This window comes from Homo sapiens, chromosome 2 (assembly GCF_000001405.40).
Source record: "Homo sapiens chromosome 2, GRCh38.p14 Primary Assembly".
In the NCBI taxonomy this organism is placed as follows: Eukaryota; Metazoa; Chordata; class Mammalia; order Primates; family Hominidae; genus Homo; species Homo sapiens.
Window position 1 is genome coordinate 232,651,091 of NC_000002.12, and position 27,376 is coordinate 232,678,466.

The 27,376-nt window shown below is 48.1% G+C and overlaps 1 protein-coding gene across 3 annotated transcripts in view, besides 1 other annotated feature; it reads left to right on the top strand.

The window, feature by feature from the left end:
• EFHD1 (EF-hand domain family member D1) overlaps positions 1-27,376 on the top strand; it is a 76,720-nt gene that overhangs the window by 45,034 nt on the left and 4,310 nt on the right. For all 3 annotated transcript variants that reach the window (NM_001243252.2, NM_001308395.2, NM_025202.4), the window contains 2 exons: positions 11,712-11,859; positions 21,219-21,353. In NM_001243252.2, the coding sequence (NP_001230181.1) occupies positions 11,712-11,859; positions 21,219-21,353 (283 nt within the window). The remainder of the gene's footprint in view (positions 1-11,711; positions 11,860-21,218; positions 21,354-27,376) is intronic.
• Positions 11,005-11,504: an enhancer, noted in NCBI's record as "H3K4me1 hESC enhancer chr2:233526805-233527304 (GRCh37/hg19 assembly coordinates)". NCBI's record gives its function as "activates a minimal SCP1, AML or CMV promoter by ChIP-STARR-seq in primed H9 embryonic stem cells {active_cell/tissue: H9 hESC(primed)}" and the evidence as "EXISTENCE:reporter gene assay evidence [ECO:0000049][PMID:30033119]".

The following is a 27,376-nucleotide window of genomic DNA, read 5'->3' on the forward strand; positions in this document are numbered from 1 at the left end:
GGAGAAAGCAGGCCCCGGTCAGTTGGGCCCAGGGCTGGGGCTCTGTGGGGTCTCACTGGGGCCAGGGCCTCCCTCCTGGATTGAGGTTCATCCTCCCTCCCCAGGCCTCCCACTTTCAGGAGCTCTGGGGCTGGGAAGGGCATCTCTGCCCAGGGGAGGGGTGCCAGGCGTGCTATTCTGTGGGGTTCCCTTTCTACATGGCTGGATTCCAAATTGCAAGGAATGTGATAGCATTTTCATGGAAGGAGAGGGAGCAACAGACCTTTCAAGAATGAAGAAAACAAATCCACCTGCATTTGCCTTTCCCAGAGGCTCAGAAGTTTGATATAAGATCATCTGTTTGCAGGTAGCCTTGTCTTAAGGGGCTTTCACACTGCAGTTGCTTGGAGAACCTTCTAGCAGGTTAAAGATAAGTGTTCCCCCTTCCCCCGGTGTGTTTGGCCCTGGACCCTACCTGGGAGGCTGAGCCCCTCACTCCCAGTTTCCTTCAGCCACACCTGCCTGTGTGATGAGCACATTGAGGATTCTTTATCTTGTCTATTTTCCTTTATCTTTTCAAATACCTAACTCCAATACAAAAAATTAGCTAGGCGTGGTGGCAGGGTCCTGTAGTCCCACCTACTCAGGAGGCTGAGGCAAGAGAATCTCTTGAACCCCGAAGGCGGATGTTGTAGTGAGCCGAGATTGCGCCACTGCACTCCAGCCTGGGCAACAGAGGGAGATTCCATCTCAAAAAACAAACAAAACAAATACCTAACTCCAGTTTCTGTCTTTGTGAACTATTTTGGAGGGGCAACCTTGGCATTATGAGGACTGACCTGAAAATCAAGTCTCACTTCCCTAAAACCCAACTCCTGGCCATATCACCCAGCCTGGGGCAGAGCTGCGGGTTAGGGGGTCAGGCTGGGGGTCCTCCTTGGGCCTGATGATCTTGGGCTGATCCACCTTGGTGGGCCTGTTTCTCCATCAGCCAAACAGCACCACACCCCTCAGAGGAGCCTTGAAGGATTACATCAGATGACATTCATTTGAAGGGTATGGCTGGTGAGACTGTTTCTCTGAATGTCTGCAAGGCGGCAACATCAGCATTCCTCTTGGCGAACAATGAATTCCTTTGCATATGTCGGTAGCCATGGGACCATGCTTTGAGGCCAAAATCAGAATCCACAAATATTCAGAAACGTGACTCCTATCATTTCTGTCTACATCTGGAGAGATAATTGCCAAATGTCTAACTCTCACAGTTACAACAGTGACCTGGACATGGGGACACTGAGCACACACTGTGCCTTCTCTAGCCCCTTCCAAGTTCACGGGTACATCGTTCCTACTGTACTCGAAAGCTTAGCGTCTGCTTGAAACCCCGGGTTCATTCTGATCCCCAGGAATTCACTTACTTCAGTTTTCACCATCTCTGAAGCGGGGCTACTAATAACCACTTCACAGTACTGCTGTGTTCAGTGAGGTAATTTAGGACAGTGCCTGGCACTTCTAAGCTCTCAGGCAACCATAAAGGCAGGCGGCTGTGATTAATTCTTCACAGGACTGTTGTGAAGATCAAAAGGATCAGTACATGAGACAATGCCTCGTGAACTGCAAAGCCGACCAGTTTTAGTTACTACATGTTTGGAACCCTGCTGTGTGCAGTTCCCTAGGTAGACATCAGGCATTTTGAGAGAAGCAGATAGAATAGTGAGATGATGAAGATGTGAGGTTTTTCCTGCCTGTCTTGCAAATCCAGGCCCTAAAGGAAGTGACTAGACAAACCCTCCAAGGGTCACTTTGAAGAGAGAAAGATAGGTTTCTGGTGTATATATCCTGGCTCCATAGGAGAGGGGGTGCCACTGATGTTGTAGCTTTATTATTTTTTTTCTTTTTATTATACTTTTTGTTTGGTGGGGTGGTTGGTTTTTTCTTTTTTTGAGACGGAGTTTCACACTTTGCCCAGGCTAGAGTGAAGTGGTGTAATCTCGGCTCACTGCAACCTCTGTCCCCTGGGTTCAAGAGTTTCTTCTGCCTCAGCCTCCTGAGTAGCTAGGATTATAGCCACCCACCACCACGCCCGGCTAATTTTTGTATTTTTATTAGAGACAGGGTTTTGCCATGTTGGCCAGCTGGTCTCAAACTCCTGACCTCAGGTGATCCACCCGCCTAGGCCTCCCAAAATGCTAGGATTACAGGCATGAGCCACTGTGCCCAGCTGGTTTTTTCTTTTTTCAAGATGGAGTCTCACTCTGTCGCCCAGGCTGGAGTGCAGTGGCATGATCTTGGCTCACCACAACCTCCACCTCCCAGGTTCAAGCAATTCTGCTGCCTCAGCCTCTCAAGTAGCTGGGATTACAGGCACGCGCCACCAGGTCCAGCTAATTTTTGTATTTTTCGTAGAGATGGGGATTCACCACGTTGGCCAGGTGGTCTTCAACTCCTGACCTCAAGTGATCCGCCCACCTCGGCCTCCCAAAGTGCTGGGATTACGGGCATGAGCCACCGCTCCCGGCCTGTGGTAGCTTTAGAGTCCTGCCAGGACTTAAATAAAGGGAACTTGGCTGATGCTTCCAGCAGGAACAAAAGAAAGCAGCCCTGACTGAGCAGCTGGGATTGAAGGGGGTGGTTGGCTCAGGATTCCTTTCTCTCCTGCCCTTCTCCCCTCCACATTACATGGTCATATCTCCACACTCACTTTATTCCTGTACCCAGCTGGTGGCTCTCAGCAGAACACCAATGGCCCTTTTCCTTCTATGGGACTTGCCCACTGGGCTAGTGGGCTTCTGTTTCCCAGCACATTCTCTCCAAAGGAATTGAACCAAATTTTCTTGCCCATTTAAAGAAGTTGGGGCCAGGCCCGGTGGCTCAGGCCTGTAATCCCAGCACTTTGGGAGACCGAGGCAGGCAGATCACCTGAGGTCAGGAGTTCGAGACCAGCCTGACCAACATGGAGAAACCCTGTCTCTACTAAAAATACAGAAATTAGGTGGGTGTGGTGGTGGGCACCTGTAATCCCAGCTACTCGGGAGGCTGATGCATGAGAATCACTTGAACCCGGGAGGCAGAAGTTGCAGTGAGCTGAGATCGCACCACTGCACTCCAGCCTGGGCGACAGAGCGAGACTCCATCTCAAAAAAAAAAAAAAAAGAAAAGAAAGAAGTTGGAATTCCTTCAATATTTCCTAAGCTTGCCAAGGTCTTTTCTGACATATTTGACCTTTTTTGTTAGGCCTGGAGAACGTTGCAGGCTTTGGGGCCTGAAAGGAAGGTTTCCCAAGTCTTCTAGACTCCTCTCAGTTCGAACCCCAGAGGTAAAAGGATGACTTTTCTTTTCTTTCTTTCTTTTTTTTTTTTTTTTTTTTTTGAGACAGAGTCTCACTCTGTCACCCAGGGTGGAGTGCAGTGGCACAATCTTGGCTCACTGCTACCTCCACCTTCTGGGTTCAAGCAATTCTCCTGCCTCAGCCTCCTGAGTAGCTGGGATTACAGGTGTGGGTATCCGCCACCCCACCAGGCTAGTTTTTTGTATTTTTAGTAGAGACAGGGTTTCGCCATGTTGGCCAGGCTGGTCTTGAGCTCCTGACCTCAGTTGACCCTCCCATCTCAGCCTCCCAAAGTGCTGGGATTACAGGCGTGAGCCACCGTGCCCTGCCAGAGGATGGCTTTTCTCATCCCCCTCCCTGTGTTGGGGAGAGCCTCTTGTCCCTCACATGTGACAGCCCCTCTGTGTCTGCGGGAGGCTGCGCTAGCTCCGGCTTATGTGGGCTGGGAAGCCGTCTCCCTGGTGCTTCCTCTCCCAGCTGAGGACAGATTCCTGCCTATTCCCTGACCTTTACTTATCCTCCCATCTGCCTAGTCAGTTTGTCTCCTGTTCCTGGGCGCTGCTGTCTCCTTACACCCAGGCTTTTCAGTTCCTCCCTTACTCGCTTCACTCTCCTTCCTTTCTGCTCACTCTTTGTTCATGTCCCAAATGATTGGCGTGTCATATGCACCACATTGATCACTTCAGCCTGTTCTGCGAATTCTGTTGGAACACGCTATGTGTGCTGGGCAGTGAGCGGTGGGCAGAAGACATTTATCCAGACTCTTGGCACTGAAGGCACCTTAGTGGTCATGTTTTTCTTTTTTAAGAGATAGATCTCACTGTGTTGCCCAGGCTGGACTTGACCTGCTGGGCTCAAGCAGTCCTCCTGCCTCAGCCTCTGGAGTAGCTAGGATTACAGGTTCAAGCCACTGTACCTGCCCTTAGTGGTCATTTAACTGGGCCACCCCTTCTAAGGCTGACTTGACCAGAGAAGTGCTTCTCAGAGGGTTTCCTTGAAAAACCGCATTGCCAAGGTACGTCTTCTCAACAGAAAATCCCCAAATGCAGAGGACTGTGTGGTCAGATGAGTCTGTGTGCTCTGTTTCCCTCTTGTAAGTTTTGGACACATACGGAAGGCTCTGGAAAGTTCCACACTGAACCTGTTAACTTTGACTGGGACTCCGTGTAACAGAGACTGTCCCTCCCAGCCGGTTTGTGCAAGCTCTCTTTACTTCTCAGGTCTAGTTCCAGTTGGCCGTTTTGCCAGAAGGCACTTCCTTGCACTTAGCTAAAGTCTGTCTCACCCATTTCCATGCACAGAGCCCAGTTCTGGCAGCCTTTGGGCCCCTGGGCAACATCTGAAGGCAGCTCTTTGCCAGATCCCACTTGTTCCTTCCACCCCTGTCCTGTCCTTGTGTGGGGTCTTTTTTTTTTTTTTTTTTTTTTGAGTCGGAATCTTGCTCTGTCACCCAGGCTGGAGTGCAGTGGCACGACCTCGGCTTACTGCAAGCTCCGCCTCCTGGGTTCACGCCATTCTCCTGCCTCAGCTTCCCGAGTAGCTGGGACTACAGGCGCCTGCCACCATGCCCGGCTCTTTTTTTGTATTTTTAGTAGAGATGGGGTTTCACTGTGTTAGCCAGGATGGTCTTGATCTCCTGACCGCGTGATCCACCCACCTCGGCCTCCCAAAGTGCTGGGATTACAGGCGTGAGCCACCGTGCCCGGCCTGTGTGGGGTCTTAAGTCCATTCGTCTTCTTGGCTGCTTCCCACTGACCAGGCCCATGGCCTCCCTGAAGTGTGAGGTCTGTGTGGAGTGGGGCAGACCATGATGAGGTGGGTAGGACTGTGGCCCTTGCATTCAGGATTCAGGACTTTTTGTACTTGCCACTATGATTTATTTCGCCCATGAGTTTTCTGGCAGCCTCCCTGACTCACTGTAGGGTCCCAGTCCCCTGAAGGTGTGGTCACAGTTGCAAGTGAGCGCCATTTCTCTCAAAACCTGTGCTGGGAAAGTCAGTCTGTGGGGGTCTTAGTTTTAGGACCTTGCTTTTTTTTTTTTTTTTTAATTGTTTTGGGACAGAGTCTCACTCTGTCACCCAGGCTGGAGTGCAGTTGTATGAGCACAGCTCATTGCAGCCTCGACCTCCCAGGCTTGAAATGATCCCCCTGCCTCAGCCTTCTGAGGAGCTGGAACCACAGGCACATGCCACTATGCCTTGCTAATTTTTTTATATTTTTGAAGAGACAGGGTCTCACTATGTTGCCCAGGCTTGTCTTGAACTCCTGGGCTCAAACAGTCCTCCCACCTCAGCCTCCCAAAGTGCTGGGATTGGAGGCATGCACCACTGCTCCCAGCCAGTACCTTGCATTTTTTAAAAATTGTGGTGAGATATACATAATGTGAAATTTAGCAGTTTTGTTTTGTTTGAGACAGGGTCGCATGCTGTCACCTAGGCTGGAGTGATCACAGCTCACTGTAGCCTCAAACTCTTGTGCTCAAGTGATCCTCCCCCTTCAGCCTCCCGAGTAGCTGGGACCGCAGATGTGGGCCACCACATTCAGGTACTTTCTTAATTTTTTTGTAGAGATGGGGTCTTGTTTTGTTGCCCAGGCTGGTCTGAAACTCCTAGGCTCAAGTGATTCTCCTGCCTGGGCCTGCCAGAGTGCTGGGATAACAGGCAAGCCTGACTGCACCCAGCAAAATTCACCATTTTTAACCATTTTTAAGTATAGAGTTCAGTGGCAACAACATTGACATTATTATGCAACCATCACTGTCATCCATTTCCAGAATGTCTTCACCCTCCTAAACTGAAACTCTGTCCCCATTCAACACTAACTCCCCATTCACCTCCCCAGCCCTTGACAGTCACCATTCTACTTCTGTCTCGATGATTTTGACTACTCTAGGGACCTGATAAGTGAATTCATACAATGAGGTGCCCTTTTTGCGACTGGCTTATTTCACTTGGCACAATGTCTTCAAGGTTCACCCATGTTGTAGCCTGTGAGCATGGGTCAGAGTTCACTTCCCTTTCATTGCTGAATGAAATTCCATTGTTTGTATAGATCACATTTTGTCAATGGGCATTTGAGTTGTTTCTACCTTTTGGTGACTGTGAATAATGCTGCTAAGAATACTAGTGTCAGCCAGGCATGGTGGCTCACGCCTGTAATCCCTGCATTTTGGGAGACCGAGGCAGGCGGATCACCTGAGGTCAGGAGTTCGAGACCCACCTGGCCAACATGATGAAACCCTGTCTCTACTAAAAATACAAAAAATTAGCCGGCCATGGTGGTGGGCGCCTGTAATCCCAGCTACTCGGGAGGCCTGAGGCAGGAGAATCACTTGAACCCGGGAGGTGGAGGTTGCAGTGAGCTGAGATCGCACCACTGCACTCCAGCCTGGGCAACAAGAATGAAACTCCATCTCAAAAAAAAAAAAAGAATACTAGTGTCCAGACTCCATTGGATCCTATGGTAATTCTTTGTTTAGGACCTTGCATTTTTCTTTCTTTTCTTTTTTTTTTTTTTTTTTTGAGACTGAGTTTCACTCTGTCACTCAGGCTGGAGTGCAGTGGTGCGATCTCGGCTCACTGCAACCTCTGCCTCCCAGGTTCAACAGATTCTTCTGCCTCAGCCTCCTGAGTAGCTGAGATTACAGGCATGCGCCACCATGCCTGGCTAATTTTTTTGTATTTTTAGTAGAGACGGGGTTTCACCATGTTGGTCAGGCTGGTCTCGAACTCCTGACCTCAGATGATCCACCCACCTCGGCCTCACAAAGTGCTGGGATTATAGGCATGAGCCACTGCACCCAGCCAGGACCTTGCATTTTTCTTTGCTATATTTTATCTGTGGACATCACACCAGCTTGCTGAGATCTTTTGGGCCTAGATTCTGCCCCAACTTTGTGTCACCAGCGAATCTGAGAGTCAGCACCCTTTCCAGGTGGCTTTAACTAACAGCCAGTCCGCCTAATTGTATCCATACTTCTCTTCCCCATAAGAGCCTGCCTGCTAGAGGGCGTTGCTCACCCTGAGTGGTAACATCAGGTCAGCTGTGGTTTTCTGTTAGATCAACTTGACAGTAACGTTTCACAACTAAATAAGCATGTGACCCAGCATCCAATCTTGGGTATATACACGAAAAAATGGAAATATATGTCCAAACACTTGTATATGAACGTTCAAAGCAACACTATTCATAAGAGCCAAAAGGTGGAAACAACAAAATGTCCATCACCTGATGAGTGAAGAAACGAAGTGTGGTATATTGATACAGTGGAATATTGTTGGGCTACAAAATGTCCACAAGAGGCAAATCCATACAGACAGAAAGGCTAGTAGTTGCTGGGGGATAGGGGTGGCAAGGGGAGAGTGGGGAATGACTGCTAATGGGTATCAGTTTCTTTTTAGGGTGAGGCAAACGTTCTGGAATTACATGGTAATGATGTTGGCACAACCTGAATATACTAAAAATTAATGCACTGTACAGTGAATTTTATGGTATGTTAATTATATCTCAGTAAAGCTGTTTTTTAAAAAAAACTTAGAAAACAGGGAAGTGAGGTCCATCCTCAAGTCATTTTCAGTGAACCCATGGAAATTGTTGCTTCCCTTCTTAAAGTGCTCACAAACCGTCCTCTGGCAACACTAGATCCTGGGCTGGTGCATCTGTGATTCACATACTCTGCCCACTTCTGGGAAACCCAGAAGCACCTTGCTTGTTTCCAGATCTGGAACACCTGTCTCATCCTTCACGGTTCCTCAAAGCTCACCAACAGCCACCCAGCGATCTTGTCTGTGTCCTTTAGTGCTTTGCAATGTAGCTCTGCCAGCAAGGAGGCTGCACTGAGCACAGAGCTGCTTGAGTAAGAAGTAGCCAGCATACTGTTAAAGTGAGGGCACTGAGAAAAAAAAAAACACAAGAAATAAAAATAGAAGCACCCACCAGAGGAAGGTGGTGAATGCTAAGTCCCGGAGAAGGATGGACAGTGGGTGCTATTGGAGAGCTGTGGGGGAAGCAGGTGGCTCCCTGAGCTCCTGGGCACAGGAGGACCATAGAGGAGGGCAGGGAGGGGGTGGCTGGGTGAGAGGAATGGCACAAGTTGGCCACTGTGGCTGGAAGGGAGCCTGTCAGGGATTCCTGGGCCTCCTCTCCAGCCTGACCTTGGGAGCCTTAACTACTGCCAGTCCACAGCACTAGATTCCTAGGTGCCCACAGGCTACATTTCTTGGCAGGTAGTGGTTGTTCTCAATAATGGTGGGTTTTTGTTACTGAGGCTGTGTTGGGGAGAATGCAGACGGGTAATGAGTGGATGAGTCAGTTCTCAAACAGCAATAAAGAAAAACCTGAGACTAACTAATTTATAAGAAAAGTGGCTTAATTGGCTCATGCACAGTTCTGCAGGCTGTACCGGAAGCATGGCAGCGTGTGCTTGGCTTCTGGGGAGGCCTCAGGAAACTTACAACCATGGCAGAAGGTGAAGGGGGAGCAGTACTTCACATGGCCGGAACAGGAGCAAGACAGAGCAAGCGGGGAAGTGCTGCACACTTTTGAACAACCAGGTCTTGCAAGAACTCACTCACTATCACAAGAATGGCACCAAGGGGATGGTGCAGAACCATTTGTGAGAAATCCACCCCCATGATCCAACCGCCTCCCACTAAGTCCCACCTCCAACACTGGGGACTACAGTTCGACATGAGATTTGGTGGGGATGCAGATCCAAACCAGATCAGTGAGGAAGCCTGATTTACTTATTTTAATTTTTAAATTTGTGTTATTTATTTATTTTATTTTATTTTATTTATTTATTTATTTTTTTTTTGAGGCGGAATCTTGCTCTGTCACCCAGGCTGGAGTGCAGTGGCACGACCTCGGCTTACTGCAAGCTCCGCCTCCTGGGTTCATGCCATTCTCCTGCCTCAGCCTCCCAAGTAGCTGGGACTACAGGTGCCTGCCACCACGCCCGGCTCATTTTTTGTATTTTTAGTAGAGATGGGATTTCACCGTGTTAGCCAGGATGGTCTCGATCTTGTTCTCCTGACCTCGTGATCCACCCGCCTTGGCCTCCCAAAGTATTGGGATTACAGGTGTGAGCCACTGCGCCAGGCCTCTTTATTTTTTTAAGAGATGGGGTCTCACTACATTGCCCAGGCTGAATGCAATCAAACTCCTGGGCTCAAGTGACCATCCCACCCCAGTCTCCCAAGTAGCTGGGACTACGGGTGGGCATATGATACTATACCCAGCCTTATTTATTTAATTTTTTACAAATTGTGGTAAAATGCACTTAACATAAAATTGACCAGGCCAGGTGTAGTGGCTCATGTCTGTAATCCCAAGACTCTAGGAGGCCAAGGCGGGCGGATCATGTGAGGTCAGGTGTTCGAGACCAGCCTGGCCAACATGGTGAAACCCCGTCTCTACTAAAAATACAAAAATTAGCTGTGTGTGGTGGCACACACTTGTAATCCCAGCTACTTGGGAGACTGAGGCAGGAGAATCGCTTAAACCCAGGAGGCAGAGGTCGCAGTGAGCCGAGATTGTGCCACTGCACTCCAGCCTGGGTGACAGAGCCAGACTCCGTCTCAAAAACAAAACAAAACAAAAATTAGCTGGGTGTGGTGGCGCACACCTGTAATTCCAGCTACTTGGGAGGCTGAGGCACTAGAAACGCTTGAACCTGAGAGGCGGAGGTTGCAGTGAGCAGAGATCGTGCAGCTTCACTCCAGCCTGAGTGAAAGAACATGACTCTGTCTCAAAAAAAAAACAAAAACAAAAAAACAAAACCTCTGACCACTTTAACCAAGTAAGTGGACATCATTAAGTACATTCACATTATCGTGCTGCCATCACCACCATCCATCGCCAGAACCTTTTTCTCATCTCAAGTTGAATCTCTATCCATTGAACACTAACTCCCATGCCCCTCTCTCCCAGCCCCTGGCAACCAATCATCCACTTTCTGTCTCTATGAATTTGACTACTGTAAGAACATCGCAGAAGTGGCACCATACAGCATTTGCCTTTCTGTGGCTGGCTTGTTTCACTTAGCAGAATGCCCTCAAGGTTCACCCGTGTATAAGCCTTCCCTTCCTTTTTATTGCCAAATAATATTCCCTTGTATAAACATACTATATTTCATTGTATGGATATACGGCTATACCCCCACCACCACCCCTTTTTTTTTTTTTTTTTTGAGACAGTCTCGCTCTGTCACCCAGCCTGGAGTGCAGTGGTGCAATCTCAGCTCACTGCCACCTCCGCCTCCCAGTAGCTCTCCCACCTCAGCCTCTCGAGTAGCTGGGATTACAGGCGTGCACCACCATGCCCAGCTAATTTTTGTATTTTTAGTAGAAACAGGGTTTCACCATGTTTGCCAGGCTGGTCTACGAACTCTTGACCTCAGGTGATCCGCCCGCCTCGGCCTCCTGAAGTGCTGGAATTACAGGCATGAGCCACCACGCCTGGCTGGATATACCCCGTTTCGTTTCTCCTTTCATCTGTCCGCAGACACCCGCGTTGTTTCCACCTTTTGGCTGTTGTAAACTGATTTGTTTTTAGAGCAAGGTATTCATACCTGAGCAACAAGGGGTCTCTGGGTGGCGGGAAATGCTTGAAGGGAGGAGAGCCAGGGGGTCTGTGGAGAAATCCTGTAATGGGGGAAGTGGCTTGGAGGAAGCAGAGCACACAGGGCTGAAGATGGCTGGGCCAGGAGGGGACAGGCCCAGTCCCACCTGGTGAAGCTGGGTTTGTTTCCTGGCTGGGGGCTGGGGGGCCAGTCAGCAGAGGGGTGGCCCTGTTAGAGGACAGAGTCAGAGCCCTCTTGGTAGACACGGCCGTTCAGAGCTGGAGACAAGACGAGCGAACCAGAGGGGAATCATGAGCCAGAGTCATGATTCCGCACACAGGGGTGGGAAGCAACTTCCCTAGACCTGGGACGGAAAGGCGGGCTGTTGGGAATGGCTGTGGGAGAGAACCAGGGGCAGTGACCAGGAGGAGGCTCCTGGAATTGCCAGCCCTTCCCTGTGAACGTGCTGGGCGTCAGGGGCCAGCTCCTGCAACCCCTCCAGTGTCCAGCATTAGGAGGAGGTGCTCGCTTGATGTTTGTTGACTGAAACTGGGGGAAATAAAGGTAAACAAAGCATGTTTCTCACCCTCCAGAAATTATGGTTTAGTTGAGGAGATAAAAGACATGAAAACCAACAGGTAGTACAAGATCTGCTTTGAGTCATACAAAGCCCTGAAGCGCTCTGAGGAGAGAGGGGTTCCTCTGGAGCAGGTGACCCACATTGGCCTCGCAGAGCGGGAGGTATTTGAGTCATTTTTCGATGAATGAAGCCAAAGGAATTACATGTTTCGGAGACTAACGAGTGTCCTTTCATCCCGGTCATGCATTCCTTTGACCCTGCAGGTATGACGCTGGGCGGGATGGCTTCATCGACCTGATGGAGCTGAAGCTGATGATGGAGAAGCTGGGGGCCCCCCAGACCCACCTGGGCCTGAAGAGCATGATCAAGGAGGTGGATGAGGACTTCGATGGCAAGCTCAGCTTCCGGGAGGTACCTGCCTGCTGTGGCCCTGAGCCCCTGTGGGGTGCCCCTGAGAGGACCTTCAGGTGTACAGCCCACTGGAGCACAAATGGGTTTGGCCTCTCCAGAGCGCTGTTTGCGTATCTAACCTGCAATTCCGCTTTCAAAAATACCTTTTAGGTGACAGCTAACCCCAGTGCTGGCCTGGAAAAAGCAGCATGGGTAGTAGTATAACCTCATTTGAGTAAAATAATAAGAAATTTGGCGATGTTCACCAAAATATTCATAGTGGATATTTATGGGGGCAAAATGTTGGTGCTTTTATAATGTTATGCTTTTTTATATATTAAAGCTTTTCATTTTTTAACGTATTTTTAAAATTTTTTATTTTTAATTGTTATGGATACATAATAGTTGTACATATTTATGGGGGACATGTGATATATTTTATTTATTTTTATTATTATTTTTTGAGACAGTCTCACTCTGTTGCCCAGGCTGGAGTGCAATGGTGTGATCTCAGCCCACCGCAACCTCCACCTCCTGAGTTCAGGCGATTTGTGCCTTAGCCTCCCAAGTAGCTGGGATTACAGTGTGCCACCAGGCCTGGCTAATTTTGGTATTTTTAGTAGAGATGGGGTTTTGCCTTGTTGACCATGCTGGTCTCAAACTCCTGGCTTCAAGTGATCCTCTGCCTTGGCCTTCCAAATTGCTGAGATTACAGGCGTGAGCCACCAAGCCCGGCCTACATGTGATATCTCGATATAAGCGTACAATGTGTAACGACCAAGTCAGGGTAATCTGGGTACCCATCACCTCCAGCATTTATCATTTCTTTGTGTTTGAAACATTCTATTCCTTTTAGTTATTTTGAAATATACAATAATGCGTCTTCTTTGCTTATCACCCAGGCTGGAGTGCAGTGGCTCAATCCTCAATCATGGCTCACTGCAGCCTTGACCTTCTAGTCTCCATTGATCCTCCCACCTCAGCCTCCTGAGTAGCTTGGACTATAGGCACATACCACCACACCTGGCTAATTTTTTAAAATTTTTGTAGAGATGAGGTCTCACTGTGTTGTCCAGGCTGGTCTCCAACTCAGCCTCAAGCGATTCTCCTGCCTCTGACTCCCAAAGTGCTGGGATTACAGTCGTGAGCCACCTTGCCCAGTAATTTTGAGAATAATACTTCTTTATATTTTCGTTTTCATTGTTTATTCATTTATTTATTTATTTACTTGAAACAGGGTTGCTCTGTTGCCCAGGCTAGAATGCAGTGGCATGATCACAGCTCACTGCAGCCTCAAACTCCCAGTATCAACCCATCCTCCCACTTCAGCCTCTTGAGTAGCTGGGACTACAGAAATGTACCACCATGCCCGGCTAATTGAAAAAATTTTTTTGTAGAGATAGGGTCTTGCTATGTTGCCCAGGCTGGTCTCCGACTCAGCCTCCCAAAGTGCTGGGATTATAGGCATGAGCCACCTTGCCTAGCTACTTTTTATTTTTATAGCATGCAAAAATTGTTTATTTTTTATTAAAAAAAATTTTGTGGTTGTTTATAGAAACAGGGACTCACTTTGTTGCCCAGGCTGGTCTCAAACTCCTGGGTTCAAGCAATCTTCCTGTCTTGGCCTCCCAAAGTGTTGGGATTACAGTGTGAGCCACTGTGGCCATCCCCAAAATAGTTTTTTTTTTTTTTTTTTTTTTTTTGAGATGGAGACTCGCTCTGTCACCCAGGCTGGAGTGCAGTGGTGTGATCTCGGCTCACTACAAGCTCCGCCTCCCGGGTTCACGCCATTCTCCTGCCTCAGCCTCCCGAGTAGCTGGGACTACAGGCGCCTGCCACCACGCCTGGCTAATTTTTCGTATTTTTAGTAGAGACGGGGTTTCACCATGTTAGTCAGGATGGTCTCGATCTCCTGACCTCGTGATCCGCCTGCCTCGGCCTCCCAAAGTGCTGGGATTACAGGTGTGAGCCACCACGCCCGGCCTATTTTTTAATTTTTTGAGACAAGAGTCTCACTCTGTTGCCTAGGCTAGAGTGCAGTGGTATAGTCTTACCTCACTGCAACCCTTATCTCCCAGGCTCAAGTGATCCCCCAACCTCAGCCTCCTGAGTAGCTGGACCACAGGCACGTACCACTACACCTGGCTAATTTTTTCAAAAGTAATTTTATAAAGGGTCTTATTCTGTGCCTGTGGAGCCCCCTCACCAATAGTCCAAGAATGGACTTGGTCTTTGAACCTCTGAAATTGCAGGCAAAATTTTGAGATACTGGCATCCCACCAGGAAGAGTGCATATGGCATTCACAGCTGATCCCCAAATGGCTAAGAACGTCTGAGAAAGCCATTTCTATTTTAGGGGCAATGTCTCAAGACTATCAGGTGTCTTCCATGGCAAGGATGCCACCCCACAGGGAAGGGAATTTCATGTGTTAGATGTGTCTTTATGAGTTTTATCAGAAGACCTCTAGATGTGTCATTTGGCACCTGTATTATATTAACTTTTTTTTTTTTGAGACAGAGTCTCACTCTGTTGCCCAGACTGGAGTACAGTGGTGCAATCTCGGCTCAGTGCAACCTCCACCTCCTGGGTTCAAGCGATTCCCCTGCCTCAGCCTCCTGAGTAGCTGGGACTACAGGCGCATGCCATCATGCCTGGCTAACTTCTGTAATTTTAGTAAAGATAGGGTTTCACTGTGTTGCCCAGGCTGGTCTTGAACTCCTGGCCTCAGGCAGTCCACCTGCTTTGGCCTCCCAAAGTGCTGGGAATATAGGCGTGAGCCACTGCACCTGGCCTATTATAATAATTTTGATGATAATATCAGATTAAAGGCTCAGAGCATCTGAAGTCTCAGTCATGTCTCACCTTCAGCCCTTAGGAGCTGGGAGTAGAGGACTGTCCCTGCTTCCTGGTGTTTAATGTTATTCCAGAAATGTTGGAGTACTGGCACCCTGGTTTTTTCACAGTTCACTGCAGCCTCTCACTTCTGGGCTCAAACAATCCTCCCACATCAGCCTCCCAAAGTGTTGGGATTACAGGCATGAGCCCCCACACCCAACTAGCGCCCTGGTTTCTGATGTGAGACTTTGGGTCAAGCGTTGGTCTGTCTAGGCTAGAAGTTCTTCCTGGAGGTCTGCAGCAGAACTGGCAGCCACAAGCCCCTCCCTCAGCCATGATGAACTGGGCTTGTCCCTTGCTTCTATAAATCAGCTCCAGAATCTTCCACCTTTGCTGAACCTGAGATACGATTCACAGGGCTGGGCATGACCCTCTGGATGATCTCATCCAGCTTTGCATGCCAGAGCCAAGGAGCTGAAGGGCCACAGAGATCTGGATTTGCTGGATGTGGGCTGTGGCCTCCGTGCCACTTGGCCTGCCCTATCACCACCACACTTGTCTTCACAGCTGCCCTGTTTGGCTCCTGCTGGGGTACTGGCTCTTTCCAGCCCGAATACCCCTGGAGTATAGAAGGCAGAGACTTTTGCTTTGGTGAAGCTTTGGAGTAGATTCTGGGGAGAGAGCTGTGGTGAGCTCTGGGAACAGGAGCTGAGAGGGTGTTTCGTGGCTTGCAATTGCCAAATGAATTAAGATGCATTCCGCCTTCTGCCCTGTTGTACTCAGCGGCCAACTGCAGGTGCTCCTCCCTGAATCCATGATGCTTGGTTAGCTTTTGGCTAGCTGCTGGTTTGGCCAGCAGATGGTAGACATCAGAGTCTTGGAAATCTCCAAAGGGTTCCTGTGATTGGTTTGCACCCCCGTTCCAAAGCTTCAGGGACATTCACAGTCTACCCTTTGTCAGTTCCAAGCCCAGTCCCATCTCTAGTAGCTGCACCAGGCATGCAGGCCTTGGGAGTATAAGGACATGCTGCCACTCATACTTTCCTGTTCCATTATTTCACCGTGCTGGTTTCCACCTCTGCTTAAGGCCCTAGTGGACCAGGGCTGTGTTCACAGACTGAAAAGAGCATGGGCTCAGTCTACTACACAAAGCTAGGTCCCCAGAGTGAGATCTTTTACTTCTGAGCCTCAGTGTTTGTGTCCTTAAAATAGCTGTGTGAATAGCTTTCCCCGCTATTGTGACCATTGTGAAAACTAAGTTTTCTTTCTGTGCCTTTTACAAGCTAGGAAGACATTCCTAACTGGAAACCATATTTGCTGCCACCTTGTTCTTGCACTTCCAGCTTCTGAAACTGTGAGAAAATAAATTTCTGTTGTGTGAGCCACCCAGACTGCACAATTTTGTTAGGGCAGCCCAAGCAGACGAATACAGTGGCCCCTGGAGCCTGGCTGTGCTGGGCCGCCCGCCTGCCTGGTCATGGTTGATCAGACCATGGATGGACCGCTGGTCTGACCAGGCCAATCGAATTCTCTCTCTCGGGATTTTGAAATTGGGGCTGAAGTGCTCCGGATTGGCTCTGCAGATGGCTGTTCTTGGAAGGATAATGCAATGTGGGGTGCCCACTTTCTACCATGCGGACCGGCATGAGAGATGGAGGGGGAATCTTGCCTCCAGTCCTAAGAGCTTTGCCTCTCCCAGTTCCAGTCCTCCTCCAGGCCACTGTGTCTCGTCCTTGGGTTTTTGAGACATCTTATTTTATTTTAATTAATTAATTAATTTATTTATTTATTTATTTATTTATTTTGAGACGGAGTTTTGCTCTTGCTGCCCAGGCTGGAGTGCAATGGTGCAATCTCACCTCACTGCAACCTCCGCCTCCCGGGTTCAAACGATTCTCCTGCCTCAGCCTCCCAAGTAGCTGGGATTACAAGCATGCGGCACCACACCCGGCTAATTTTGTATTTTTCTTTTTAGTAGAGACAGGGTTTCACCATGTTGGCCAGGCTGGTCTCAAACTCCTGACCTCAGGCGATCCACCCGCCTTGGCCTCCCAAAGTGCTGGGATTACGGGTGTGAGCCACTGTGTCTGGCGGAGACATCTATTTTAAATAATGAATACCTCCTTTTTGCTTAAGTGAACAAGTTTATTTCTGTCACTTGCAACCTAAGAGTTCTAACTAATACCGTGGGAGTGTTTGCATCATCGGCCGAAGCCATGAAGTTAAAAATTCCCTGAGTGTATCAGAAGCATCCATAGCTTGCGTGTGAAAGGGCTTTTTAGCTTTGTTAGTTCTCTTGCTGTCTCTTTGTTTTCTACCTCTCCTTCCCTCCCCCTCTTTCTTCACAGTCACAGCTAGGACAGTTTCCAATTCTTCTACCACATGCCCGGCTTTGTGGACTATAAATAGGAAGACAAACAAGGCTGGGCAGTTGGATAAATTGTCATTTAGGGCGGTTGGTGATTGTAACAAAATTAAATGGAAATGTCTGGCATGCTTCATGGAAGTCTGGGCGCTTTCAGCTTGAGCTGAGTTTTTTCCCTTCTTTAACTGGCTGGGGTAGGGGGTACCCCTGAGGTGTGACAGGGATGCTGCTGGTCACCTGCTGACCTGGCACAGTGAGTGGATACGTCTGGATCTGCCCCAGACCTGAGGGTTCAGAGGAAACAGCTCTGGGGAAGGGACCCGTGAGGAGAGCTTTCCCTCATGTTTCCAGTTCATGAAGCCCGTCCGTAAACTGTCATCTCCACTCTGGATTTGAGAAGGCCAAGCCTCGGGGATGGCGAGAGTCCCTGAGGTCACCTGGGTGGGCACTGGCTGGGGGTGGTGCTCTGTCTTCTCTTAAAAAATATTTTGTTTTATTATTTTATTATTTATTTATTTATTTGAGACACAGTTTCACTCTGTCACCCAGGCTGGAGTGCAATGGCGCGATCTCGGCTCACTGCAACCTCCACCCCTCAGATTCAAGCGATTCTCGTGCCTCAGCCTCCCGAGTAGCTGGGATTACAGTTGTGTACCACCATGCCCGGCTAATTTTGGTATTTTTAGTAGAGATGGGGTTTCACCATGTTGGTCATGCTGGTCTCGAACTCCGGACCTCAGGTGATCCGCTCGACTCAGCCTCCCAAAATGCTGAGATTACAGGTGTGAGCCACCACGCCCAGCCAGTGCTCCCATCTTTTCACAGCTGCCTGTCTGGGTCCCAGAGAGCACTGGCCTGGTGGGGCTGCCTGTTCTCTTTGCCTCGTGGAGCAAGGAGGTGGGGCCTTCTGTGAAGGAAATGATTTAAGGATAGCAGGGCACGGAGCGACCAGTATGTCAGTCCCTCTCTCCACATGCCTCTCATCCGCAGCCCTGAAGTCTGCTGCTTCGATCTTTTCCACCCCTGTGTCACCATCCCCTTGACCTCCAACCTATTCTTGGGGGGCCTGGCCTCCTCCAAGGGGCCTGTCTTCTTTCAAGTCAATGTTCAGGTTCTGATAATCCACAGCAAACTGAGTCTCTGCCGGCCTCTAGTGAGAGAGTTTGAAGCTGCAGGTGGTTGAACATGGCTGACCGTCGGCCTCTCCGTGGGCATCTTGCTGTGTCTCTTGCTTTGTATTTGACAATATCCACGGTAGCGTTAGGACCCTGAAGGGAGCAATAGGAAGAGGGTGTCTTACAAGGCATTTCGGGGATGCGGTGGTTGAGCCTCTCACCGGCATGAAACACACTTCCCTCTGGGGATTGAGAGCCTCGGCAGTAATGATACTCAAGTGAGGATTTGGAAGGCCTGTAGAAGTTGCTTAACCTATCACTCTACTTTAAGTAGTGTTCTTTTCCCTTTTGAGAAGGCTTTTTTTTTTTTTTTTTAGACAGAGTCTTGCTCTGTAGCCCAGGCTGGAGTGCAATGGTACGACCTCGGCTCACTGCAACCTCCACCTCCTGGGTTCAAGCGATTCTCCTGCTTCAGGCTCCTGAGTAGCTGGGATTATAGGCAGGCACCACCACGCCCGGCTAATCTTTGTATTTTTAGTGGAGACGGGGTTTCACCATGTTGGTCAGGCTGGTCTCGAACTCCTGACCTCGTGATCCACCTGCCTTGGCCTCCCAAAGTGCTGGGATTACAGGCGTGAGCCACTGCACCTGGCGAGAAGGCATTCTTTTAGGGAAGAGGGTTATGAAAAAAGACCTGGAAACCTGCAATTTTCCTGTGGGTGCATACATTTTAGGTAGCACCTGAAAACCTGGAGAGAGCCTCTTTCGATGATAGCTTGGAACGTATCAGTTTATATTCTTTCCATATGGAAAAATAAGTCATGAAGCTTAGATAGCAGTTGTTTAAAGAAGAGAACTAAAAAAGCCACAAAATTGCCTTGGGAGAGGACAGGAAGATGGGGAAATTGCCATTTAAGTTTGGCCAATTTATAGCTGGGCATGGTGGCTCATGCCTGCAATCCCAGCACTTTGGGAGGCCTGAGGCTAGGAGTTCAAGACCAGCTTGGTCAACATGGTGAAACCCCATTTCTACTAAAAATACAAAAATTAACCAGGTGTGATGTCACGCTCCTGTAATCCAAGCTACTTGGGAGGCTGAGGCGGGAGGATCACTTGAACCCGGGAGGCAGAGGTTGCAGTGAGCCGAGATCGAGCCATTGCACTCCAGCCTGAGCAACAGAGCAAGACTGCATCTCAAAAAAAAAAAGGTTGGCCAATTTATTTATTTAAAAGTTTGTTCTTTGGAAGCCTGAAGATTAATTAATTCAGGTCACATTTTGAATCTGGAGGAGGAGGGTGGATTATTCAACAAATGATGCAAGGATTACTAACCAACCATTTGGAAGAAAATAAGGTTAATGATTAACCTCACATGATAAATAAAAATAAATTTCAGAGATTAAATATTTACATGGTTAAAAAAAAAAAGAAGCCATAAAAGTTGTAGACAAAACATAGGTGGTTGTTTATATAACCTTGGTGCTGAGGAAGGTTTTTCTAAGCATAACACTATATGTAAAATTTTTGAAAGTTGAAAATTAGCATAAACATACTTAAAAGGCAAGTGATAGAGCTAAAATATTTGAAACATACCAGGTTCTATGAAGATCTTTAGCAAATGGTAAGAAAGGCAAACAATCTAATGCAAAAATGAGACACACAAGAAAAGTACAAGTTGTTAAAAAACCATTGGAAATATTATTTAGTTTTTAAAAAATAGTATATACAGGTTTATTTGATTTTTCTTTCATCACTGTAAACTAGGATGCTGCTAATTTTTTACTTTCATAGATAATGTTTAAACCATTGTAGGAATGTTTCTGAAGGATAAATTCCCACCAGTGGAATTAATGGTTGGAAGGCAAAAAGCATCTTATTTTCAGTAAACATTTCCAAAGTGCCCATCAAGGCCAGGCACAGTGCCTCACACCTGTAATTTCAGCACTTTAGGAGACTGAGGCAGGAGGATCACTTGAGACCAGGAGTTTGAGACCAGCCTGGGCAACGTAGAAGACCCTGTCTCTACAAATTAAAAAAAAAAAAAATTAGCCAGGTGTGGTGGCACACGCCTGTGGTCCCAGCTACTCAGGAATCAGAGGGCATAGGACCACCTGAGCCCAGGAGGTCAAGGTTGCAGTGAGCTATGAACACACCACAGCACTCCAGAGCGAGACCCTGTCTCAAGAAAATAAATAAATAGGCTGGGTGCAGTGGCTCACACCTGTAATCCCAGCACTTTGGGAGGCCGAGGCGGGCGGATTACCTGAGGTCAGAAGTTTGAGACCAGCCTGACCAACATGGAGAAACCCCGTCTCTACTAAAATACAAAAAAATTAGCGAGGCATGATGGTGCATCCCTGTAATCCCAGCTACTCGAGAGGCTGAGGCAGGAGAATCGCTTGAACCTGGGAGGCAGAGGTTGCAGTGAGCCGAGATCGCACCACTGCACTCCAGCCTGGGCAACAAGAGTGAAACTCCATCTCAAAAAATTAAATAAATAAAAAAGAAAATAAATAAATAAAAGTTTGAGGGTGGGAGGCAGTGGCTCACGCCTGTAATCCCAGCACTTTGGGAGGCCGAGGCGGACAGATCACTTGAGGTCAGGAGTTTGAGACCAACCTGGCCAACATGGCAAAACCCCATCCCTACTAAAAATATAAAAATTAGCCGCGCATGGTGGCACACACCTGTAATCCCAGCTACTCGGGAGGCTGAGACATGAGAATCGCTTGAGCCCAGAGGCAGAGGTTGCAGTGAGCCGAGATCATGCCATTGCACTCCAGCCTGGGCAACAGAGCGAGACTCTGCCTCAAAAAAAAAAAAAAAGTTTGAATCGGTTTACACTCTCAAATAAATATGAAGGTGCCCATTTCCCTATAGCCTTGGGAAAAATCGGCATGTTTTCATTTTTGACAATCTGATGAGGGAAAAAAGTAATTTGCCACATGCATACATAAACATCTTTCTTAAGTGATTGGCAGAGTGACTTCAGCTTGGACCAGAGGGCTGGTTATGAATCTGTCAGTGAGACTGACTCTGGTTCCCTACTTTCTTTCCCCTGTAGTTCCTGCTCATTTTCCACAAGGCCGCGGCAGGGGAGCTGCAGGAGGACAGTGGGCTGATGGCGCTGGCAAAGCTTTCTGAGATCGATGTGGCCCTGGAGGGTGTCAAAGGTGCCAAGAACTTCTTTGAAGCCAAGGTAGGTGCTTAGTTCCTTCTGTGAGGAGCAACCACTCCCAGCCTTCACGCTGCCCACCAGACTGCAGCTGTCATTTTCATCTCAGCAGAGCACACCTGCAGAAACAGACCAGGAGGGTCCTCCCAGTGCTCTGCCAACCAGCAAGTGGGTGCCAGTCCACCTGAGTTCAGACTCTGCCTCCTCCATCTCCCTACCCTGTCCACTCTGAGCCTCGGTGTCTTCATCTGTATGATGGAGGGGTGACAATAGAATTGCCTGAATGATTAAATGAGTTCATGTACATGAAAGCATTTAGGAAGTGCCTGGCTCACTGTGAGCCCTTCATAGGTGGTATGGGCTGTTGGGACTCTTGTGGAGTTTTGTTTTAGTTTATTCTGGAAGCTTGCCCAGAGACAGAGTGCCTTGGTGACATATCCTGGCCTGCCCAGTCCCCTAAGCAGGACTCTAAATTCTTACTTCTCTTTGAGGCTGCTTGGAGACAGATTTCATCATCTCTCTGCCATGCTGAAAGCCCAGTGCTCTCATCTGACAGTGTCAGGGACAAGCCAACCACTCATTGCGCCTTAAACACTGGCACCATGTGTCCAATAATGAAAGTGGTTTGGTCCTTCCTTCCTGACTTAACATTGATTCAGCCCATCTCCAGCAAAGCTGGGCACCGCATTGAGCTCTAAGATACAACTCCTTTCTAAAGGCGAAGTGGTCATAACTGTTGCCCTTCCCAGGGCACACACATAGTCCAGTGAAGAAAGCAAGTGCCACAATGACACAGAGAGGGTAGAGAGGAGGGAAGGGCTATTTTGCAGGGATGGGTCTTCTCCATCCATTGAGTATATAACATGCAGATGTCTTATGATGCTTTGGGAGAGGTGCTAGGGTTGAGAGCCCGAGCTTAGCAGGACAGTTTTCACTCCACTGCTCCAGTGCAAGGTGATACGTGCTCTAGTTGAAGTAGGTTTGAGTGTCTGGGAATGTCTTATCTGGGTATTCAAGACCTGTTATGATCTGGCTCTGATCCCTGCTTCAGCCTCATCCACCCCCTGCAAATGCTGCCACGCCTTTCCCAACTGGATCTCCTGTCCCCTCTGCCTGAACGCCCTACCCAAATGCCTCTGCCTAGAAAACTCTGCTTCATCCAGACCCACATTGAAGAGTTCCCTCCCCTGGGCTGCTTTCCCTGACTGTCCATCCTCTTCTGTGTGCCTCTAGTACACATGGAAGTGGTGTTATAATTTATCGTTTCAAGGCACCCTTACATGCTTTTGGTAAAAGTATAAATTAACCCAGCTTTTTATTTTATTTTATTTTTTGAGATGGAGTGTCGCTCTGCCACCCAGGCTGGAGTGCAGTGGCAGAATCTTGGCTCACTGCAACTTTGACCCAACTTTTTGTAAAGCAGTTTGAAACTAACTATGCACATTTTATATTTTTCCCTTCCAGAATTCTACCTCTTAAGACTTCTTCTTTTTTTTTTTTTTTTTTTGAGATTGAGTCTCACTCTGTCTCCCAGGCTGCAGTACAGTGGCACGATCTTGGCTCACTGGCACCTCTGCCTCCCAGGTTCAAGCAATTCTCCTGCCTTAGCATCCTGAGTAGCTGGGCCTACAGGCGCCCACCACCACGCCCAGCTAATTTTTGTATTTTTAGTAGAGACAGGGTTTCACGATATTGGCCATGCTGGTGTCAAACTCCTGACCTCGTGATCTGCCTGCCTCCACCTCCCAAAATGCTGGGATAACAGGCGTGAGCCACCGCACCCATGCAAATGCACATACATGTATGGACAAGGATTTTCATACAATAGTGTTAGTGATAGAGAAAAATTAGAAATAACCAAAACTTCCATTATCAGGGAAGTGAGTTCATTGTGATATACCCACACATTTGCACACTCTGCAGCTGTCAAAAAATGAGATGCAGCTGCGTGTCCGTGTGGACAGATGTCCAGAATAAATGAAGCAAGACAATATGCTGGAAACCTAATTTTGTAAACATGAAATCCAACCTGGATCATTATATGCCAAAGTATCAGTAATAGTTTTGTCAGAGGGACTTATTTTATATTTTTGTAATGTTTTACAATGAGTGTGCATTATTTTTATAACTGGAGAAAAGATGAAAAGAATGACAATAAAAATTCTTACAGCTCGTTATGTTTATAGGTCTGCCTCCTCACCCAGAATCAAAGGCAGAGTAGGTATGATATCTTTGTAATTACAGTGCTTGGTATATAATGGCCCTCAATAAACATTTGCATGGATGACAAATGGAGGGCATCGTCACTGGATTTGGGAGAGGGCCATAAAGGAGCCGCCATTTGTGACAGATGTTCCAAGATGAATGGGGATTCACCTTGTAATCAAGGAAGGGAGGGCGTTGTGATCGTGGGAACACCAAGTGGAAGGCTCCAAGGCATAGAGGGTGAGACGTGTTTGGAGGCTGGAGAGGCGTCCCAATGTGAGGATACAGGATGTGTGAGGGAGCAGGGCTGGTGACATGGCCGGAGGTGAAAGCCAAGATGCAAATATGGTGACCCCAGCCTGGCCAACATGGTGAAACCCATCTCCACTAAAAATACAAAAATTAGCTGGGTGTGGTGGTGCACACCTGTAATCCCAGCTACTTGGAAAGCTGAGGCAGGAGAATTGCTTGAACCCGGGAGGCGGAGGCTGCAGTGAGCCGAGATCGTGTCACTGCACTCCAGCCTGGGTGACAGAGCACGACTCCACCTCAAAAGAAAAAAAAGAGAGAGAGAAAAGAAAGGAAGGAAGGAAGGAAGGAGAAAGAAAGAGAGAAAGAAAAGAAAGAAAAGAAAAGAAAAGAAAAGAAAGAAAGAATATGGTGATCAGGAAACTGGGCCAGCACTTGCCACCCTTTGGCACACCATGGCACATGTGGTCTATGACTCTGAGATAGGATGGCTCCCAGCTACACTAGACGCTATTGGACAGAGAGCTCCAGCCTCCCTGAGGCTGAGAGGAGTTCCTCTCTGGGCACCTGGTTGGGAAGGTCAGGCCTTCCCCCGACTGCTGAGTGTTAGAACCACCTGCACACCGGCTTCCCAGGCCCACCCACATCCACCTGGGATTTCTCCAAGGTGGGTTTCAGGAAACGTGTAGTCGATGGAGCTGTGACATGATTCCGATGCACAGCCGCAGGTGCAGGGGAGCCGTTGAGTGTTTGAGCAGGGCCTTGACGTGATCGGGGTGGGCACTACCAGGACACACTTGCCTGGGGACAGTTTAGACTCAGGGAAGTTTTCACAGATGTCCTGAGAAGAATTGTGGGTCCAATAAGGGTAGGGACAACCAGACTAGAGAGGAGGAGGAGACAAATTGAGAATTCTCTGGAAGTCTCAGTGTTCATCACTCCATTGGAGGAGGGAGATAAGTGCCATGAGGTTTGTAAGGAGGGGAGTTGATGATATTTTTCATCAAGACCAGCCTCCCAGGCCAATTGCGGTGGCTCACATCTGTAATCGCAGCACTTTAGGAGGGTGAGGTGGGAGGATTACTTGAGGTTAGGAGTTTGAGACCAGCCTGGCCAACATGGTGAAACCCCATCTCTACTAAAAATACAAAAATTAGCCGGGCATGGTGGCATGCGCCTGTAATCCCAGCTACTCAGGAGGCTGAGGCATGAGAATCGCTTGAACCCAGAGGCAGAGGTTGCAGTGAGCCGAGATCAGGCCATTGCACTCCAGCCTGGGCGACAGAGCAAGACCATGTCTCAAAGGAAAAAAAAAAGCCTGGCCTCCCCCTATTCCCAGAATGGCTGTGGTTTGAGGAGGAAAAGTTATGAACTGGGTTTGGTTTCAAGTGTGAGGTGACTTCAGGCACGGGAAAGGCGTGCCCTTTCATTTGAAGGCCATCATGTTGGTTGCAAATAGTTTCTGATCACATCCTGTTTGACCGAACCTGGTGACTCCTGGCTGCATGGGAGGTTAGGGAATGTCTTTTTTTCCGGGATCTGTCTGCCCGGCTGTAATTATGCCACTAGGGAAGATGAGGATCCTATGTGTTGAGGGTCATGGAGTAATTTCTTCCACACATGCCCAATTCTGAACCTGCCATTGGAAAACGCTGGAATATCATTATCTCAGCTGGGCTCTCCTGGAGCCGGGGGTGGAGTCAGTCTCCCTTAGGCCCCTGGGCCATGTTGCAGGCCTCATAGCAAGAAATAAGGCAGGAAGTGGGTGCTTCTGGGCACCTCACAACATAGACCACAGGAGCTAACTTCACAAGATACAAGTTGAAACCAAGGATTAGAGATTGACCTATGGTAGAACAGACTGGTGCCAGGACTGTGGGGAAGGCTGGCATTTAGGCCTTTGGAGAAGAAGGTGTAATCAGAGGTATAAGGAAACCCTGGGGAAATGCTATTTTGGAGTACAGGAGCAGTTTTTAGAAGAGATTAGGCTGGGTGCAGTGGCTCACACCTGGACACTTTGGGAAGCTGAGGCAGGAGAACTCCTCAAACCCAGGAGTTCAAGGTTGCAGTGAGCTATGATCATACCACTGGACCACAGCCTGGGCAACAGAGCAAGACCCTGCCTCTAAAACAAAACAAAACAAAACAAAAAGCAAACAATAAAAGAGAGTTTTTAGTCCCTGCCTCTAGGGATTATAATTCCATAAAAGTAAAAGTGACCTGGTGCAGTGGCTCACATCTGCAATCCCAGCACATTGGGAGGCCAAGGTGGGAGGATTGCTTAAGTCCAGGAGTTTGAGACCAGCCTGGGCAACATGGCAAGACCCCATCTCTACACACACACACACACACACACACACACACACACGTACACACACACATCTTTCTATAACACACACATACACACACACACACACACACGTACACACACACATCTTTCTATATAAGCATAACTCTTGCTGTTAATATTATCAGAGTTACCTGTCTTCAGAAATGGACCCCTGTGAAATGCAGGGGGAATTTAGAAAATGGACACTGATTTTTCATTGAAATGGGAGCATCCAGGCCTGGTGCAGTGGCTCATGCCTATAATCTCAGCACTTTGGGAGGCTGAGGTGGGAGGATTGCTTAAGCCCAGGAGTTTGAGACCAGCCTGGGCAACATAGTGAGACCCTCTCATTACAAAAACAAACAAAAATATTAGCTGGGTATGGCGGTGCATGTCTGTAGTCCCAGCTACTCAGGAGGCTGAATTGGGAGGAACACTTGAGCCTGGGAGATTGAGGCTGCAATGAGCCATGACTGCACCACTGCACTCCAGTCTGGGTGACAGAGTAAGACCTTGTCTCAAAAAAAAGACATTTAGAAAGTTGAGAACTCTGCTCCAACTCCCCCAACACAGTTAAATGTTGGGAAATGTAAGGATTACTTCTTCCCTTGTCCTCCAATGTTATAAAAAGAATGCAAACATATTGAAAAAGATAATATCATATTCATTCTCTGAAGCTATTGATTCTGATAAAGTCAGATAAAAATGACTTTATTAGAATAAAGAAAAAAGAATTATATCAATTAGAAAAAAGAATTATATCAATGAATGTAGCTCTAAGGATCTTAAAACTTCAGGGGCCAGGAGCAGTGGCTTATGCCTATAATCCCAGAACTTTGGGAGGCCAAGGTGGGCACCTCACTTGAGTTTAGGAGTTTGAGACCAGCCTGGCCAACATGGTGAAACCCTGTCTCACTAAAAAAAACAAAAATTAGCTGGGCGTGGTGGCGTGTACCTGTCATCCCAGCTACTCGGGAGGCAGGAGAATCACTTGAACCTGGGAAGTGGAGCTGAGATCACGCCATTGAGCTCCAGCCTGGGTGACAGAGTAAGACTCCATCTCAAAAAGAAAAAAAAAAAGAATCTTAAAACTTCAAAAAATGGAATGCAGTGATTACATTTAAGGAGATAGATGTTAAAACTGTAAGAATAATTTGAAAATGTTGCGATCATAGGTTATCAAGAAAAAAGTCATTTAAATTAAATATCTCAAAGGTATTTGGTAAAGTTTAATACCCATTCATAATAAAACATTTTAAAATAA